Source organism: Homo sapiens, chromosome 1 (genome assembly GCF_000001405.40).
Source record: "Homo sapiens chromosome 1, GRCh38.p14 Primary Assembly".
Taxonomy (NCBI): domain Eukaryota; kingdom Metazoa; phylum Chordata; class Mammalia; order Primates; family Hominidae; genus Homo; species Homo sapiens.
The window spans coordinates 243,709,581-243,730,417 of NC_000001.11; the positions used below are offsets into that span (position 1 = coordinate 243,709,581).

The following is a 20,837-nucleotide window of genomic DNA, read 5'->3' on the forward strand; positions in this document are numbered from 1 at the left end:
ATATCATGGATATTTTAAGATCATAAAAATTTAAATTCTATTTAAAATCCTTCTTTACTAAATCAAAAGGTAAAAGGAACTAGCTTAACAGTTGAACATACTACAAATTCAGGGAAGGGAATGAAGGTCATTTTATAAAATTCTTTTCTATAATAAATATATATACTTACGTTTAAATATCTCTTCAAAAAGATGCCAGGAAACAACAACTGCTGTTCTATGCGTTCTTCCTTAGAAGTATAAAATTATGAACTTTGATGCTGTGTTCCAGTCTCAAGCAAATAAGTGACTTGCTTGGCCAAAAAAATAGACAAACTTCACGATTTATGCTTTTCCTGCCTTTGTATCTTAATCATCTTCTGTTCTAAAAAGTGCTACCACGTTTACCCACATCTTTAATCAGATTTTTTTGAACTAAAACACATTAAAAAATTTAAGCCAAAACATTTAGCAAGATGCCTTAAACAATATGTCAGACAGTGAAATACTCTGTTTTCAACATACTGGCCAATATTTTTAAAAATTGCTATTCATGCAGTATTTTGATGAGGCACAATTCAAATATACATTAAAGCTAGAAGTTTCTGAAGTTTTCTGAATTATCCTGAAAATATACCAAGTACGGTTTCATTTATTTGTGAAAATGTCCTTACAGTTTCATCCTCATTTGTGATATATTTCATAGGCTATGGATATTTCCACTTCTTTGGTACTGTAAGTTGTTTTTTATAAAAAACAACAAAAATTATTTGTTTATAAATTTAGACTGTAACACTTAACTATCTGTCTAGAAATACTGGCATCCATCACCATGTGCCATTAAACATTAAAATATCCTTATATGAAGCTACTAGCACTCCATTCAAAAGTGAGCGTTATTTTTCTAGTGTAACCAATTTATTCTTTTAAACCAAAATAGAAGTTCTTAGTCACTATACCCCGTCCTATGAAAGACTCTTAAATACTAAATTAGGTGGCTCTCCCAGGTACAACAACCCTTGACTCATCATCCAAAATTATTCAGTAATATTTACTAGCGTGGAATGCCGGATGAAAACAATTTGAAAAGAAAAATGTAAAGAACCACCACCTACATCTGTATGGGAATTAATCATACTTTTAGGTTTACTGACTTCCTCATGTCGACCAAAGCCATATCCTCTTTACTTCTCTAAGAAAACACTTCTGCTTATCTCAGCACTTTCATCCCTATGTGAGCTTAATTAGTTTCTTCATCTGCAAAATAAAGAGTTGTGACAATCAAATAATGCTTTAAACCTCCATGAGGAGAAGAAATATTATTTTTAGCTAGGTGTTCCAAAGTCTCATTTTAAAGATAATAACCCAAATACAGCTTAAGTACTGGCCGTAGCAGAGAAAAGTTCAGCTCCAAAATAAACTGAGGTTACTTTTTTAAGTATGAAAAATAATTTTGTAGAACAAAATGTGAAATCAGCTGGCCAGGCACAGTGGCTCACGCCTGTAATCCCAGCACTTTGGGAGGCCAAGGCGGGTGGTTCACAAGGTCAGGAGTTACAGACAAGCCTGGCCAACAAAGTGAAACCCCGTCTCTACTAAAAATACAAAAATTAGCCAGGTGTGGTGGCACGTGCCTGTAGTCCCAGCTACTCGGGAGGCTGAGGCAGGAGAATCGCTTGAAACCCTTGAACCCAGGAGGTGGAGGTTGCAGGGAGCTCAGACCATGCCATTGCACTCCAGCCTGGGTGACGGAGTGAGACTCCATCTCAAAAACAAACAAACAAAAGAACAAAATTTGAAATCATCATCACTAAATAACCACTAATACCATACATCCGAAATACTTTTATCCAACTGTTTTCTTTATATTTTCTTTAAATAATTTATTTCCCTCCACATTTATAAAACAATCATATATCCCTAAATAAACATAAGGTTCCAAGAAACAACCTTCTATCTGTGACCATTCTCTCAAACAGCCTCTACAGCTTGGTATTCTTATTCTATGATAGTCAGAGCATTATATAAATACTCCAATTGTAATAGCTACAGAGCTCTAGACTTGCACATAACACCTAATAAAAATACTAACAGCTACTACTGAATTCATTCAAGACATTCTAAATATATTATCTCATTTTGTTTTCACAAGATCCTTGAATAGCAAGTATTGTTTCCTTCTTTCAAAAGATGAAGAAATTCACATTTAAATAGTTTAAGTGACTATGAGTAAATTCACTCATCTAAGTTAAGTGATATTTAAATCTGGTCTTTGTAACTTCAAAGACATTCTGCCTTTAATATTTCAATCACCTTAATATGTATACTTGCCTGTACTACTAAGATTTAGCAAATGGCTCTGAAAGAATCAGAAGTAACATATCATTAATAAAGCATAGACCTGCAAGTTTGCTTGTGTATAAAAGTTGGTATAAGCTTGCTTTTCCCAGTCACTCATTAATATCCTGACCACTGACAAACCATACCCTCTCACTTTAATAACAAACACCTTCTACTTAAAAAATGGCATACTGCTCGCCTCCAAACTTGGTAGGGATATTAGGATTGACTATGAAACTGTAAATACATGGACATAATCCTACACACAAATATGGATATATTCACGGCCACCTATATAAAAGAAATAAATACATGAGACAAAGGAAAAGTCAAGGTGGCTGATGATTTTCTATGCCTTTTCAGCAAACACGGATTAGAGTCACTTGAGTAAAAACTGACGGTGAGAGAGAAAGTTTTTTCTAGATAGACCTGACCTCTATTTCTTTATGAAAAGCAGAAAATAACAGATAACCTTCCTTTAATTCTTTCAGAAAGACATTACTCTGGACACGAAGCTCTGTCAGTACGTTGGCCTTTCAACCATGCTTTGGGCAATTTCTGCTTGATAATTATGCAACAAAACCTTAAATGTTTTAGGAAGGCATGAGTTCCAAAAGTCAACATAAGCACTTTTTAATTCTCCACACATATTTTTTTTTGAAATGTTAAGTCCACATTGGGCGGAAAAAAGAAAAAAGGAGAAAAGTCAGAGCTTCTCTTTTTTGTTTTCTAGTTATTCCATTCATATTGATTGGTTCTGAAATGTTACAAAAATTTTTGGTGTTCTAGAAAATAAGTAATATGGAAAATTTTTACCTAAGGTCACTGTTTCTTCTCAATTATTTAAGGTGAAAGTAATAAACCAGACATTTAAGTAAACATGCTCACTTCCATCTAAATATAAATGTTATCACAGCATTTGAAAACATTCCAGATATATCAAATCTCTAACACCTAATGTCAAGAATGTATCAGAAGGAAATATACAACCAACTCATTAATGCTTGATAAAAATGCACGCTTGTCATTTATAGAATCCATGACAACCATGAGAAAAAGAGTATGTACTGATCAAAAAGGCCAGGTTACTATATAACTTTGTTTCACAACTAACGACATTTAAGTTCAAAGTATTATGGAATTACTTACAAAATAAACTGGGTACTCTCTACCTCACCCCTAGTGGTAGGCTATGAAACAAATCGATTCAGTTTAAAATAGTTTATGTGCCGACTAGTGTTAAAACGTTCATGTATGCATTAAGATCACACCAAATCACCTGACTGATTCCTTCATCAAAAGCTCCTCTTGGCAGTTAGCAGTACACACCTAACATTAGCCAAACAGGTTATCTACCATCAACACGGAGAAATAAGAAACTTTGTATTGCCATTTAAAGAAGTTGCTTTCTAAAACTAGACATGAATAAGGGAGAGAAGAGGAAGTATTAAACCCCTAAACTAATTAACGAAATAAGGGAGGGGGGATGCAGGAAAACAATGATAATTAGTATGTACCCTTGGTTAACCAAATCCACACATACATTCATTCTGTATATGCACAAACATCAGCAGCATCATAAACCGTCTCAAGTTCTAGCCATTATTCAGTTCGACATCTGCACATGTTTATGCGTCTCTCCAAACAACCTCTTGAACACCCTGCTGGAGCTGTCATTTTTTTCTTCTCCCTATCTGGCAGATGGCAAGTCAACAATCGGCATCAACAGCAGCCGAATATCTCCCCCTCCATCCTACCCCCCTAAACAGACACAATAATAACTTCTTTGTGCTTCCCTACAATGCAGCTGCTTAAACCATTTCGCTACAAGGCTGCTTTGCCTTAATAAAAAAAAAAAAAAAAAAAAAAAAAAAATCCCTTCTGTCAAGTCTAAAAAGCAGCATAATGTTAAGCAAGCTAAAGCCACAGCACAGCTGCAAACGGGCAGACACATTGACAGCTCCTCCCTTAACAAAGCCCTGTGAATTGAAGGGGGTTCATCTGAGGCTCACACAGTAATTAGTATAAAAAAGTCCGACAGCCTCTATTATGCTAAGGGAAAAAAAAACTGGACAGAACTGGGCTGCTGTTTTGCGTCAAGAGTTCTGCTGCAGAGTAGATAAATCATGTTGGGTTTTTTCCTCTCTTTTTAAAGACAGTAATAAGGAGGATGAGAGAAGCTAATTTGAAAACTTGGACACAGTAATTGTACCATATGGTGAGCATTTATCCTTTCTGAAATGCACGCTAACAGTCACTTACATGCACACTGCTTTGTTTTACAGTTGTTATTCTCTCTACCATATTCATAAAATGGATTTGAATATCTGATACTCAAGATAAGTTGTGTGTAATTAGCAAGAGAACTGCCTAGGTTTAATTTATTGGCCTTGCACTGCAATCTAGTAAAATGCAAAACAAAATTAAACAATGTGTCCACTTTGTACAGATATTTTTTCTTTAACTCAACAAAACACTAATGAATACAAGTTCATTGGAGTGTTTCTAAGTTAAGGCACAGTGTATTTTGAAAATTCCAACAGAATAAACTATAGCTGTTGATAAGATTTCTGATATGTCACCATAAGAATAATTTTTCAGAAAGATCACCTGGTTTAATTTTGTATTTCACTGAAGCAGATGTAACTCTTCCTCATATACATCAGTAAACCTAGATGCAAGAGAAATTTCCTTGCATATGTCCTAAAAATTTTAGGAAAAGAAATTCTGTCATTTATTAAATAGTTATTAAGTACTCTGTGCCAAGCACCTATCTGGCACGGGGAGGAGAATATAGAAAAGCTTTCACATTTTTTTTAAATCTAAACATAAATTGACTTATTTTGTCTACTTCAAAATTCTATAAAAATCTACTATTTGAAGAAAGACTTTAATAACACTAATAGTACACTGGTTATCATGGCACAATATATATCAAAATATATAGGGAACAAGATTAGTTTAATCAGAAGTAAATTCACTGTAATGACATCTGTGTGACCCTTTTAGGTAAAATATTCTGTGTTTACTCAATATAAACTATGTTCTAAAACTGACATACTCAACTAGAACTCATATGAATCCTTTAAATTTCAAGTGGAGTAAAATCACTGGTTTGAATTTCTACAGCATCCATTTGACCACAAGTATCCTTCTGATCAATATTTTGGGGACATGAAGAAGCAGAATATTTTAAGGTATTGTTAGTTCAAGACAGAACTAAGAGTCCCTACTAAAGCTTGAAGTAATCTGTCTTTAGAAGAAAGACTGTGACTCCACCCAGGAAATTGGGCATAATTACATTAAGAAGGAATGGCTTCATCCAGAAAGTACCACTAATAATTTTCTACAATAAATCTCCATTTTGGCTTAACAGAAATAAACTTGGTCACCCACTACTAGTATAGTGGCTTCCCTTTATGCTACTGGTATTGGGCCATATGACCAATTTACACCTTGGATAAAAATATTCACTTTTGTATACTGCTTTACAGTTTACCAAATATTTTTAAATATTAACATGGGTCTTAAAAGTTCATTATACTGGGCCGACTTTGGTTTCGACATAGACAGATGTTTTGATTGAGAAATATGTGACCAACAACAGAAGTCTGATTCTGCATACTTTCAAACTGGGTGAATCCTACTGTATTAACAATGTCATGATACTATCTGGTGTTAAACAAAAAATGGGATCATTCTCTACAAAGTGGAGAGAGATCATTCTTTTTCTAAAAATCTGCAGAAAAACATTACATAATAACTCTTCTTGTTAAATAAACGAGGGAAAGAAAAAAAGTATTTTTAGAAGAGAAACTTTTCATTATTTTGAAAACAGGTTCAAAGGTGTTACCAAATGACTTATCTTTTTATCACATATGAATAAAAAGCCATTCTTAGTGGAGAAAAAAAAATTGTTTCCATTTAGGAAAATCAAGTTGAGGATATGTGTGTACACTGAATACTCCATTTAGTGATAATACTTAGGGTAAATGGGATGTGAATATAAGATCTGAAAATTTAACAGAATAATGATGGCTTTGTCCAGGAAAGGTGTTGTTACACCATTTGATCAAAAGTTTTTCTTAGTTAAGTCTGTCAACAATTTCTGAACTACCTGAAACCATTTTGATTATATCAATGACAACACTGCAGAAAAATTTGTCTGTAAGGAAAAATTAAGACTGTTTTAAAAGCTTCTAATAAGAAATATTTGCCAAGAATACATGATTTTTAAGAAGAATTCTTCTTCATATAATCACAATTCTGATATCCTTTACCTAAAGGGGAATAGGGATAATTAAATTAGAACAAAGCTGTAAGAAAATGTTCATAAATAAGAATTACAGAACCAAATGATCCTAGTGGGTCTGGTAAACATTCTCATTTTTATTTACCTACGTTGCATCTTTTAAGAGCTCATATCTGCCACAAAAGTAACAAGTTGCTGTTTTCTTATTAAATGTGAATAATTTCTCATAAGATCTAGCAGGTACCAAATACAATTTAATTTATAATGTATGGGGTATTATTAAATACTTGCAAATATTAAGTCAAAGACTGACATACCACTAAGAAAATAATGCAGTGGTCTATTGATACACTAACAATGATGGCAAAACCTAATCCAAGACTTTGGGATGCAAAAAACCTAACATATGGATATGGACTTCCTCAGCAGAAATTCGAGTAATGCATAGTTTAAAACAAACTCTTCATTTCTATAATAAACACAAATCAAGCAATGAGAATACCTAACATAGAATTTTAAATTCAGAAAGACAAGAAATTAAAAAGGATTACTTCATATTTTATAATGATGTTGTGGAAAAAAGAACGAAAAGAGGAGAGGTCATGTCTAGAATAGTATTCAGAAGCAGGCCTCAGCCAAATATTTACCCCTGATACTTGTCTTTAACCTTAGTGCTCTATTAGAACTCTTTCAGTTACAAGGAACAAAGATCCACTGAAGCTAACACAAGTAAAAATGGGTCATTCTAATAATACTAACACTTCATCCAAAGAATACAGGTAGCCCTTTTGCAAGTAAGATCTGGAAGGTGATTAAATCACTTTCTTTTATCTTCTTCAGGGATTGTGTCAAGTCTGGCTTCTGTCCCTGGTCTCTCTCCCATTCCCCTCCCAGGCCTGGATGGATCTCAGTCTGTCTGCTCCATCTTCCACACTCTACCCACCAGCTCCTTAGCTCACTCAGAAGTTTTTTTCCTTCATAAACTCAGCTTGCTGCTACCTCTTCCAGGCAATGCTACCCATGACACATAATACATTAAAGAATGTGGTTTAGTGTTACTTTAGAAATGTTTAAGTAACTTCCATATAATTTCAATTTGTATTAAAGTCTTTTAGTATACTAGGTAATCGAAATGTCTTCCCAAGAGTCATACCCAGTGGCTTTTAAATTGTGGGTCAAGATTTTTAATTTTCAAGGACTAGGTAGTATCAAAAATACTGGAAGCACTGGCAGACTCCACCTGATAAACAGGCTGGGTTCCAATGGTCATTGTCAGAGATTTAAAATTTAGTTTATCATTTTAAAAAATTATTAATACAAATGGTAACTAGTTCCCACATGTCATTAGTTAAAAAAGCACTGTATAACTACTACTTGCTACTTTAATATTTGCTTTCATTCTCCTTACTTCATATGAGAGACAAGTCAGATATTAATATTACCATCAGTATTCTATGCTCAAGAGTTTCAAAGCTATAAGCACCTGATTAAAGAATGAGACACTGAGCACCCTATCATTGGACGGCCACATATCAAAGATGTTATAAAAGAAATTTGAGTTCTGAGTTAAAGGTGGTATCAAACTGCCCCATAGGTTACTTTTAACACCAAGATTCTAGTATATTGGTGATTTTACAGATTAGGAAACCAAGATTTCAAGTTAAGACACATGTTATTGAACTAGTTCTTTTGACTTCAAGTCCAGCTAATTTCGATCATAAAACATACATTGTACATTATACTTGTAAGAAATCCTGGAATCTCAAATTCCTTTTAACAGTACTTTTATTTTTAAAATAAATTATAAGTTAGAATCCAGTTATGCTGAATATGCAACATTTCTATGATTACACCCATTAAAGTATGCAAATAAGAGTAAGGTCAAAGAAGAGAGCTACATTCATTTTACATTGGATGCTATGCATAAGAAAACAGAGGACCTTTCCTTTTCAAGTAGAGTAGCAATTGCTCCTAAAACACCACCCAAGGCTCAGCTGAGGTGGTCTCTTACCATTTGTTTAGAAGGGAATCTGATCTGTAGCTGAAGCAATTATGAACAGGAGGTAAGAAAATCCCCATGTCTTATAACCATTTCCAACATACACACAACTGGGGACATGGATGTCCACAAGCCAACGATTGTATGCATTCTCTGTATCGTTACTTACATAGGAGATGAAAATTGGAAACATCAAGTGAGTCATGTAGTGTATTTTTAATTTATAATTATTAAATCTTCACTTTAAAGTTTTTTTTAAAAAAAAGCTATCTAAAGCCACAAACATTTTACCTATCTACTGTTTTGTTTTGTTTTTTTTCAGACAGTCTCTCTCTGTCGCCAAGGCTGGAGTGCAGTGGCATGATCTTGGCTCACTGCGATCTCTGCCTCCTGGATTCAAGTGATTCTCCTGCCTCAGCCTCCCGAGGCTGCTACCCTTACAGCTGGGATTACAGGCCCTCACCACCACGCCTGGATAATTTTCTTTTTTGTATTTTTTTTTTCAGTAGAGACGGGGTTTCACCGTGTTAGCCAGGATGGTCTCGATCTCCTGACCTCGTGATCTGCCCGCCTCGGCCTCCCAAAGTGCTGGGATTACAGGCATGAGCCACCGCACCCAGCCTCAGCTTCAATTATGAAGAGTAAATGCTAGCAAAATGAATTGATGAATTTTTTCTTTTTAAATATTCTATCCAATATTTTGCATGTCCAAAACACAAGGTAAATTTCACCTATATTTAGGTGTTGTAGAAGTCCAACAAACTGGATTTCATATATGCACAAAACAAGCCATAATCCAATTATTTTCATGGGATAAGTCATTCCCTAAGGGGATAATTCCCTTAGGGATAATTCCCCTAAGGGAATGACTCATTAGGGAAATTATTCAAGTAATGAATCTAACTCCCAGCAAACAAGATATATAAGGTATGCAGTTCTATTCATTTAAACATTCCACCTTTTTCTGAGTATCACATATGTCAAGACAGTCATTGCAAAAACATTTGCAAGCTGCATGTGGAATGTGGCAAAATTCCTTTTTAAAAAAACCGATAGTGTTTAAATCCTATCCCAACTCTCAGAGACTTTTCTTATTTCATAATGCCCCCCTACTCCTACAACTCCCAAAATTACTCTAATTTATTCACATAACTCTCTGCTAACTTTAAGTTTTTTGTATCAATTCCCTAACAAAACATTCCAAATTGTTCTATCTTTTATTCATCTCATCGAGTTCCACACCAAGTCTTCCTCCAACTGGAGTCACACCCCAATTTCTCACTCCTCAGTTCAACTTTAGTTTTCCTGACTACCAATTCCAATTGCTAAGAAATGAGAAGTATATTTTGAGTAAACTAAATTACATACTCAAATCACTGTTGAGTGTATCAGTGAAGGTAATGCTGGCTGCTGAGAGAGGTAAATCATGACAACTTAGTGCTTTACTACAATGAAAGTTTTGTTTCTGGCTCATGTAAGGTCAAAACAATGTTTCCTTTCAATGGCAGTGACTGAAGGACCTAGAATCCTCCCTTTTAGAGGCTCTTCCATCTCCTTGGTTTCATGACTGCCATCAGAAGGGAAGAGAGAAAGAACACTGAACACAGATGTTCATGACCCAAGCCTAGAGGAGGCATGCGTTAATTCTGCTCACATGTGAGTGGCCAGAACTCAGTCGTATGGCCACACCTAACTCCAAGACAGCTGCAAAAAACAGTCTAGATTGGTGCTAGGGCAGAGTAGGTGTATTACGCGCAAACGGATTTGGCCAATCTCTGCTACACTGAACATCTCTTGTATGTTCTTAAATACTTACTTAATAACCTTGGTGTTAAGAGAGAGACATAAGAAATGAAAGCAACTGTATATCTAAAAATGGTGGCCGGGCGCGGTGCCTCACACCTGTAATCCCAGCACTCTGGAAGGCTGTGGTGGGCAGATCACCTGAGATCAGGAGGTCAAGACCAGCCTGACCCCATCTCTACTAAAAATACAAAATTGCCCGGAGAATGGTGGCACATGCCTGTAATCCCAGCAACTCGGGAGGCTGAGGCAGGAGAATCACTTGAACCCAGGAGGTGAGGGTGCAGTGAGCCAAGACCGTGCCATTGCACTCCAGCCTGGGCAACAAGAACAAAACTCAAACTCAAAAAAAATTAAAAATAAAATAAAAATAAAAATGGTTAAAAATGGTTAAAATGGTAAATTTCATGTTACATATATTTTTGCCAAAATAAAAAGGATCTTAAAATCTTTTTGATGAGACCAAAAGACATAGTAAAAAAAAAAAAAAAAAAAAAAGTTCTAAATCAAACATGAGCAAATGTCAAAATATAATTAAAAGCTAAGTATAATATAATCTTCATGTGTTTTATCAATACTACATAGAGTTCTATGATTTTTATCATAAATAGGATCTCAGCCTGACTTGGCCTGTCTGCTCTGGTCTAAAAGATGTGAGGAGAAAAAAAGAGACTTGTTAATATCATAATATTATCTTAAACCAGTAATTCGAATAAAGAGATCTCCTCAAATATTAGTATCTTAAAATTATAAAGTAGATAAATATTAAGGGTTAATACAATTTGGAGCCAATCAAAATGCAATAATCTCTTGTCCTTTTCCTTTTATTTTTTACGTATTCCCAGATGGTCCAACTATTCCGAAAAGCTCACGGTATATACTCTTGAGAAAATAAGCATGTAAAGCATTCTTTTAAAGTACTTGCCACACCATATTCTACTGGCAAATAGGGCTAATGCTGGAGCTCAGAAAACAATACTCCAAAATATGGCACTTCAGCACACAAAGTACTTTGCACTGGAAGGTATCAGAAGCAGCCTCAGAACCTGGATCTCTCTCATCTTCTCCTGCCCTCCTGTCTCTTGCCCCTCATTCTCCCCCAAAGCAAGTACAGACACCAGAATTCCTCCTCACCAAAGCAGATAATAAAGACTAGATCTCTCTTCTCCAAAGCCAGCCATAAAAACTACAATTACTACTCTAACCTTCCCCTCACCTTTCTGTCTAGGAACTGGCCTAGACAGAAATTCTGTCTAGAAATTCTCTGACCTACCCTTGTCCCAATAATATAGGTCATAAGACCCTCATCAGAGGGGTCCTGTCCCATACCTGGGAGGAAGAAACATTACAAGAGAGAGGCCAAGAAGAATCTGAACAGACAGGTCTTGGTGAGTTTTTATATGCAGTCTATTAATATTAGATCATAACCTTTTTGTCCAGTCCTATTTCTACATAGCTGTCCATTTTTCACTGAACCTAAGCACTGAAAAATGGATAGTTGTCCCATATGTTTGGGGTCTTCACTCTGAAGGCTCCTGTGTCATGTAAAACTATAATTAAACAGATTTGTTATGCTTTTCTCTTATTACTCTGTATTTTGTTATAGGAGTGTTGGCCATAACCCTTATGATGGGGAGGAAAGGGATCATTCCCTTTCCACTACTATACTACCAAATATAAACTAGTAGTACCCTTATAATTCTTATATTTTCTTACTATTTTTTACATAATGGAGAGAAAAAGGAGTTAATAACCCTGGGAAATTTACTATGCCAATGTAATCCTACCTACTTTTAGAAGGTATCAAAATATTTGTAGAATTAAAAGAATGCCACTGCTAAAAGGAAACAAATTTGTGTAGTATTAGATAACACTCCTGTTGCTTCCAGGCAAGGCACATCAGAGGTGAGATTACCCTACAGATAACTTTTTTAAGAAAAGATATAAGTAACCTAGGTATTATAATTTTCTAGATAACTTTTAAGTAACATAGACGTTATAATAATTTTCAACTTTTATAGCAGATTTAAATTTCTACATATTATATAACAAAATCTCTAAAGGAGCCAAGCATAAGACATTCCAAATAATTTCCAAACACATTTTGGCTATGAATACATTTCAGTTTTACAGTCATTAAAATTTACACAGCTTAGCAGGTCACAGCAGGTGTTACGTTATTCTCACGAACAAAAGTTTAACATTAAGAACAATTCATATATTTTGACACATCTGCTATATATATTCGTGTTGCAAGGACTAGACTGCGAGCTTAAGGTTTTATTATATTATGCTTACATTTGAACTGGTTATCATAAAAAAGAAACATTATACTATAAAACTTCAGAGAAAAAGATATACATTAAAATAGCAACAACCTAAATTTACTCTATAATATAAAGTTCCATCAAAGCAGCTCCATCTAAATGTTAACATGTCTAAATATTCTGTGCATGCTTCTGAGTACATGCATATGAATAAAATGCTAAGGGGAAAACAACATAATTGCCAAAATTTGTTTTATAAAAGGCATTTCCCCCATCACATAACTTCACCATTTCTAGTAATCATCACACCCCCAGACCAAAGCACGAAGTTAAAGAAGGCCCTTATAATACACATAAAAAGTCAACAACTTCCTTCAGACTAAGAAGAACAAATTCTAAACTAGAGAACCCTGGATGAGAATGACCTGCCCAATCCCCACTGAAAAAGATGGAAAATTTTTTCCTAAATGGAGAGAATCACATAATGATTCATGTCTTCAATAAAACATCAACTAACTCAGAAAAAGAAATACCATGGCAAATTATACCTCAAATATTATATTAGACATGAGCAATGTAAAAACAACTATCACCGTAAGAACCCTGTCTAGGAAGCAATTAATCTTTCTCAAGAAATGCAGTAAGTCTGGGCACCCATTTTCAAAATTATCAAGGCCACTTTTCATTTAAACATTAACATTTATTATTTTCATTTAAAATGTTCAATGTGAAATTGTTAATATGTTAATATGTGTTTTAATACATTAGTTTACAAGTAATAATAAGGTCTGAAAAACAATTTATAAAAATGACTATATGCTGTTATGCTCAAAATAAATCATAAACATTTTTCCCAGCTCACACCAGGCCCTTTATCTGAGGGATTATTACAAAGCAACTAAAAACTCAATCACAATATAACGAAAATAATGTTAGCTGGCATAGGAGAGTGTTTTGAAGTGCTTTCTGAATACCTCAGTCTCACACTCAAATCAGGAGCATCTGTCCACCAACTGTCAAGATAACGTCTAGCCTAGGAGTTTTCCTGAATTCATCACTATTCATAGATGCCTGTCACTATTCAGAAAAAGAAGAAAGAAAGAGCCATACTTTCAAAGCTATTTTCTTTTTCTATATGTCCTAGTAGAGGTGAATATAGAATTTATCACTTTGAAGCCAATGTAGTCTGAATCAACCGGTCCTCCATCTCCAGATCTAAGAATGCAAGTTAAATGTTCTCTAGAAATTATAGATAATTCACTATGTCATATTAATACTTCTCACTTATATTACTACTGATTGAAGGATCTGATCCCTAGACTCAAAGCCATTACCTCACCATTACTTTCACAACTAGAAAGTACAATCCAGCCACCAACCCCTATGGAAAATGGCACAATCAAGAGTAAAGTGTTTCCACTGACGCCAAGCACTGTGATTCATGCATGTAATCTCAGCACTTTGGGAGGCCAAGGTGGGAGGGCTTGAGGACATCATATGAGTTTGAGACTTGGGTAGAGATCCTGTCTCTACAAAAAATACAAAAAAAAATTAGCCAAGCATAGTGGAACCTGCCAGCAGTTCCAGCTACTTGGGAGTCTGAGGTGGAAGATCACTTGAGCACAGGAAGTGGAGGATACAGTGAGCCATAATGCACCAGTGCACTCCAGCCTGAGAGACAGAGTAATATCTGTCTGGGGAAAAAAAGGTGTTTTCATTGGCTTCGTTTTAGATGCTGCTGCAAAATTCAAGTTAAAGCTGTCTCTCTCAAGAAACTTCATTTAAAATGCATTCCTATGAAATTTATATCCTTATTTTCCGAGTCAGAAACAACAAATTTCATTTTATAACAAACATAAATAATCCTCAAAGTATTCAGAAATGCTTTTCTGAGCCACTGTAACAATGCTGTGTGATACAGGAGAGGAAAACAAGACTGTCATCCCTGCAGTCCTCAAAAGAAAAAGTTAACACCAAACAAACAAGATAATACAAGGTAGGCCAAAATCTAGAAAAATTGAGGGGAAAAAAAAAAAAAAGAATCCAGAAAAAGGTAAAACTACCCGTTACTGAGTATGCAGTTGTACCATTTTCTACTTTACATACTAACTAGTTCAGTCAGTAATATCTCTATTTTTAGTTCCTTAAACCTACATACATTAGAGAACTATTAGGTGAGCAAATCAGTAATCAAGACCAAAAACAGAGAATCAATAAGGAATTTAGTTTTCAAAAGCATATTTTTTTCAAATGCAAAAGTAAGGAATTTTTTCCTACATTATAAGACTTATGGTATCTTAATGTTTATTTATTTCCATAATAATTTAAGGGAATGAATCTTCAGTTTTTGTGTAAATATGACTTACCATGGCACTTAATACAAATGCATCCATCTTCTGGGATCCAGACCCACAAGTTCTAATTTCATTTTCTGGAAAACTACACTTTTACCAAGGATTAAGGGGGTTCTAATACAGGTGGACTATTGCCCTCCCTTTAAGAAATACTAATTTAAGAGCTCAGTATCTCCTGGGAGAAAAAACTGAATTTTAAACTAAAATCATTCTTAAATCATTCAGATCTCTGGCCAACAAAATACTTTCCAGTTTCTGAGGGAAAAAAGATGAAGAAAAGGCAACTATTGTTATAAAATATCCTACAATATAGAAGAAAAATCAGGTACACAAGAAACAAAAGTAGGGTTGGGCACAGTGGCTCACACCTATAATCCCAGAACTTTGGGAGGCTGAGGTAGGAGGATCACTTGAGGCCAGGAGTCCAGGACCAGCCTCGGCAACATAGCAAGACCTTGTCTAGACCAAAAAAAAAAAAAAATTAAATTAGCCTGGCATGATGATGCATGCCCGTAGTTCTAGCTACTCGGGAGGTTAGCTTGAGCCCAGGAGTTTGAGGATGCAGTGAGCTATGATAAGGCCACTGCATTCCAGCCTCAGAGACAGAGCGAGCCTTGTCTTTAAAGAAAAAAAAAAAGAGAAAAAGAAATGAAACTGCAATAAGGGCAGTAAGAAAAGTTCTGGAAAGTGTTGACAGTTTCAGAAGGAAGAGTTTACTTTCAAATGGTGACAAGGGAAGACAAGATACAAGAGGTGAAACTTGAGCTATAACTTGAAGGGTTGATGAGTAGGACTTCACCAGTGACTAGAGTGAGTGAAGTATTCCATGGGGGCACTGTGCTATCTGCAAAGATGCAGGAAAAAAAATTATAACACCACTCTCCAGGAATATGTGACCAATCTAGCAGAATAACAGAACAGAACTCAGCCTTTTTTGTGTCTCTACTTCAGAGACAAGAATAATATACTCCAGCAGTAACACTGCTCACTGCATACGGAGATTTGCAAGGGTTAAGGGTCGGGGGCATAACCACAGAAATAAGGTCCTTGTGACAACTAAATAAGATAAAATATTATATTTAAGATCATTACATTCCTTTTGAAGGTCACTTTGACTACTTCAATATACAGTTCAAATATATTTAATTCTTCCAAAATACCATTGCCAAAAAAAATTAGTGAAAAGTGGTAACTGGCTTATATAATTTCGACGATTTAATGAAAACAATACATATGCCACATATACATGGCTAAAAGATGTCACAGTTGATTCAAAATGGATAAGCAATATATATGTTGTTACAATTTTCAAAGTAATAGCTAAAAAGTACACACAGAAAGGTGTTTATACACATTCACTCATCTATCTGGCACTTCGTAGAAGACTAGGAAAGCTACTGGCCTTTTTAAAAGGTTAGTTCTCATAAAGGCCTAGTGCAGGCAGCTCTGGAATTTCATGCCTCCAACATTAATGTCTGGAATTTCATACCTCCAACATTAATGTCTAGTATGCTGGTGGGTGCTACTCATCTTTTCAAATCTGTTTTAATTATTCTGTTGCTGGGCATTTTAACAGATCTTAAGTTTGATAAATTTAGAATTCCAACTGGAGGTTAACCCACGCCCCAATATGTAAGCCAAATCCATTTCAATTATTTACGAAAGGCAGATAATATCAGAACAAGACTGATTATTTAGGTATTAAAGGATGTATAAGTAAATTCCAGTGGTGAAATCTGGAAAAATTATCTGGATGAAGAGTCAGGTGTTTTTTAACGTGTGGGAAAAAGTTGTGGGGTTAATATTATTTGATCTGCTTACTAAATATAAAAATATTTTACACCTATAAAGTGAACTCAATTAATGCAGGGAACAATCTAAAATATGGCAAATATTTAATATGGTTGTTTGGTAATATTTAAGTTCAGTTTCTATAACTTACAACAGGTAAATTCTCAAAAGAAGTTGTCAATTTTCTGAAAATCTCAGTCTGTGGTTGCTCAACTTAGCAACCAATATTCTCTTTTTCAACCCAAAAGAAAGTTAACATTTATCTATGAACAAGCACTCAGTCCCACAGCCATGAGAGTTGTCAAAATAACAGGAAGAAAAATGGACCAAGGATATATAAAGCTGAAAATGGGTCAGAATGCTCAAATTAAGAATCAAACTTATGTTTTTATTTTTCTTGCTTTTTCTTGCAAGCCAGGGCATCCTCATGAAAAAACAGGTAAGAATTTGGCAAGAATAGGGATAGAAAGCAAAAAGAAACTTGTTTTCCCAAACATCTGGCATCCTTCAACAAACTCTGGCAATGAAAAGTCAAAGCAAAGCAGATAAGATTCTGCCAATCACCTTCTACTTAGGCAGTGGCAATAGGTGGCCTAGCCAAGGCTCCCTGCCTGAGCTGAGAAGAGATGTCAGTATTGTGGTAAAGCCCACCTCCTTGGTCTTCAACAGATTCCTTCCATACCCCCAGGTTATGACAGAAAATGAGCAATTCACACAAGCATAAATGTGAAACATTAACATTTAAAAGGAGCCTAACCTACATAATAAGTGCTGAGGCTGAATACACATTGTGGGTCAAAATCAGGACAAGGCAGCTCAACATGGCATCTGTTAAGGGAAGAAAAATAAAGGGCAGACAAAAGACAACATTTAATCCTAGGTTCAACCTTCATAAATCAGCATACAATACCAAAAGTAAGTTAGTTGATTGATTGATTGATTGATTGAGACAGGGTCTTGCTCTGTTGCCCAGGCTGGAGTGCGATGGTACAATCTCAGCTCAACACAGCCTTGACCTCCTGACTCAAGCAATCCTCCCAAGTAGCTGGGACTTCAGGCATGCACTACCATGCGTGGCTAATTTTGTTCACTTTTTGTGGAGATAGGGTCTTGCTATGTTGCCCAGGAAGGTCTAGAACTCTTGGCCTCAAATGATCCTCCCACCTCAGCCTCCCAAATTGCCAGGATTACAGGTGTCAGCCACTGCTCCCAGCCCCAAAAGTTTATTATTATAAGGACTCTTACTCTTCATTGTAATTTATAGGCTGAAATTGCAAAACTGAAAACCCTATTCTTGCAACAATAACTTGAGGTATTTAGAACTCATGACACCAAGTTTCACATCCTCTTTCTTAAGTCTGCAGAAAAGGAACCTCCATCCTTATAGTTCAAAGTCTTTCTAGCAAAGAAAAAAAGAGAACCAAGAAAAAAAAGCATCATAACTATTTTGTAAGTATCAAACTAAAAAATTTGATATAATCTTAGTTTAAAAAAATAATTATAACACTGATTTGATATTTAGGCATAGAGGGATGTTGGTGTTTTATAAGAATTGACCTGACTATAAGCAGCACTCAGCTACATCTCTCAAAAATAAGGGAAAGCCATTTTAAGAGCTTGAAGTAGTATGTTGTAGTCCTATGACATTAATAGTTTAACAGAAACCACATACAACTTGAAGACTAAAACTATCAACTCCCTAAACAACTCACAGTGTACGTTAACATGACTTGACTATTCAGGGAGAGCCTCACCCTGGCAAACGGTTTGATTGTTCATCACAGCAAACTCCTGAAACACGCATCAACGATTCAATAGAAAGCCCCAACAGTATGTAAGATTTTTTGAATCCCTTGCTGTTGCATAATGGTCATCATCCAATTTTAATCAAACACACACACACACCCAGTATTCACTCAACCTCAACCAAACTTTGATTCTCAGTACATACTATCCTTGCTTTCTTCCCTCCAAGAAACCGCCAAAGTTCTAACCAGGTGGTGTACTCCCTTTCTGTGACAGGCAATAAACTCTATCTATAGGTTGTGAGGGAGACACTTGGGCAGCCAGCACTTGATACTATGCCAGCTGTAAGTTTTAATCATTCAGGAATATAGTGCAAAGAGTACTGTGAACTTATGGTGTGCTAATGCATCATACTAGCAATTGTGAATTTAGATCATAAACCTTTGTATTTCACCTAAAACTTTATGGGAACAGATAGGACAGGACAGGCAATCCCAATGCTTTTGTAGAAAAACTGTCTGGTCATATGCTGTCAGTTCTTCACGATTTCAAAGAATAACCACTTGAAAGAAAATTTTCAAAAATCTAAAGACTTAATAAAACTAAGATCAATGAGTTTTAAAGTACGTGTCATTAAAAGCACAAACTCATTTGCAGTCTATGGACTCTAAGGCAAGAGTCATATGCCAGACATCCCAGAAGAGGTAAAAAGTTATTAGAGACAAAAAGGACTTCAGGGAAACTTAGTTTTTCCTTAGGGAAAGGAGTCCTCCATGGAGTCACATGGCCCTCCAATAAGTAGGCATCAGGTAGTGTATCAAGAACTGATACAAGATCAGAAAGGAAGAGCCAATGAGTTAGGAGAAACCAAGGTTGGGTTTCAAGAATTGAGTTGCTACTTGTGCTGAATGATATTAAGAGATGGAGAAAAAGAAAGAGAAAAATGTTCACGCGGATGTCAATGATTTTTACTAGACTCTTCAGAGGAGTAAGAAATCCAAATAAACTAGAGTTTAGGGCAGAAAATTAACTACAAGGTGAGAATATGAAAGATGCCAGTGTGGACAAACCATGCAATAAAATTTTATTAAAAGAGAAGCAGAAATAGAGGCAGTAGCAGAATGGGAAGCAATATGTCAAGAGGGGGCTTTTCTTTTTAGGATGGAAGATACTATTGCACCTTTATATGCCGGTGTGAATGATAAAGCAGAGAGGGAGAGACTGGTAATACAAGAGAGGTAATGATTTGAGATTTTGAAAAGATTAAAAGGGTGGAATTCAAAATACTAGTGAAAATAAGAGCATATGCACTGAGTTTAAAGCATGAGAATATGGTGAGAACATAAATGGGTACAGCCTTTCCAGGAAAAAAATCAAGTACCTCATAGATTATAAAGAGACATGAAAGTAACCATATCCTTTGAGCCAGTAATTTCACTCATAAAAATCTACCTTAAAAAAAGATCTGAAATCTATCTTAACTGTCTAATGATCAGGGAGAACTGTTAGGTAAATAATTATAAAATGCTATTAAAAGTCCTTAATGATATGGGAAAACGTTCATAATATTAAGAGAAAAAAAGCAAGATATAAAATTCCAAATGTTGTATTTTAAAAATAAAAATATGTGCATAGACAAAAGATTAAGGAGACATAAAATATTAGTAATATCTCTGGACAATAAATGATAGATTACAGTGTTCTTCTTTATGTATATTTTTCATTTTCCCTAATAAGAATGGGTCACTTTATTACCAGAATAATTTACTTTCATCTTGCCTGTATTTTCCAAGTCTCTCTACTGACACCTTCCTAACAGCTTTAAATATTTGTGTATTTCAGAAATAAAATTGTGATAGTGGCAGGAGGCAGACAAATTCCTAGGCAGATTGGGACAGGTCCCCAGTGAAACCCAACCTTCAGGGCACACACAGCATGAAGCCTGAAAACCTGGCTGCTCCTTCTAGCTGGAATCCACAACCTGGAGGGAGAATTTCCTTTACGCCTTTCAGCCAATGAAATGGTGTTTTTTCCAGGTCCACCCATGGACCACTCAGCACGCACTTCCTCCTGCCCAGGGACCAATCAGCACACACTTCCTCCATTTTGAGCCCATAAAAACCCCAGCTTCAGCTGGACTCAAGGTAAGTAAGGACTACCCTTAGGAGCTGCCCGCTTTGGGTCTCCTCTCTGCTGAGCTGTTCTGCTACTCAGTAAAACTTCTCCACCTTGCTCACCTTCCAGTTGTCCACGTAACCTCATTCTTCCTGGACAAAGGACCAGAATTCGGGACCCACCCAACAGTG

At 35.6% G+C, this 20,837-nt stretch overlaps 1 protein-coding gene across 12 annotated transcripts in view, besides 1 other annotated feature; it reads right to left on the reverse strand.

Moving 5' to 3' along the window:
- The window catches only part of AKT3 (AKT serine/threonine kinase 3), a 362,847-nt gene that overhangs the window by 221,348 nt on the left and 120,662 nt on the right, over nt 1-20,837 (reverse strand). The window lies entirely within an intron of this gene.
- Nucleotides 3,585-5,011: an enhancer, noted in NCBI's record as "VISTA enhancer hs545". NCBI's record gives its function as "enhancer in: neural tube[5/7] | hindbrain (rhombencephalon)[5/7] | midbrain (mesencephalon)[6/7] | forebrain[6/7]" and the evidence as "EXISTENCE:transgenic organism evidence [ECO:0001131][PMID:17130149]".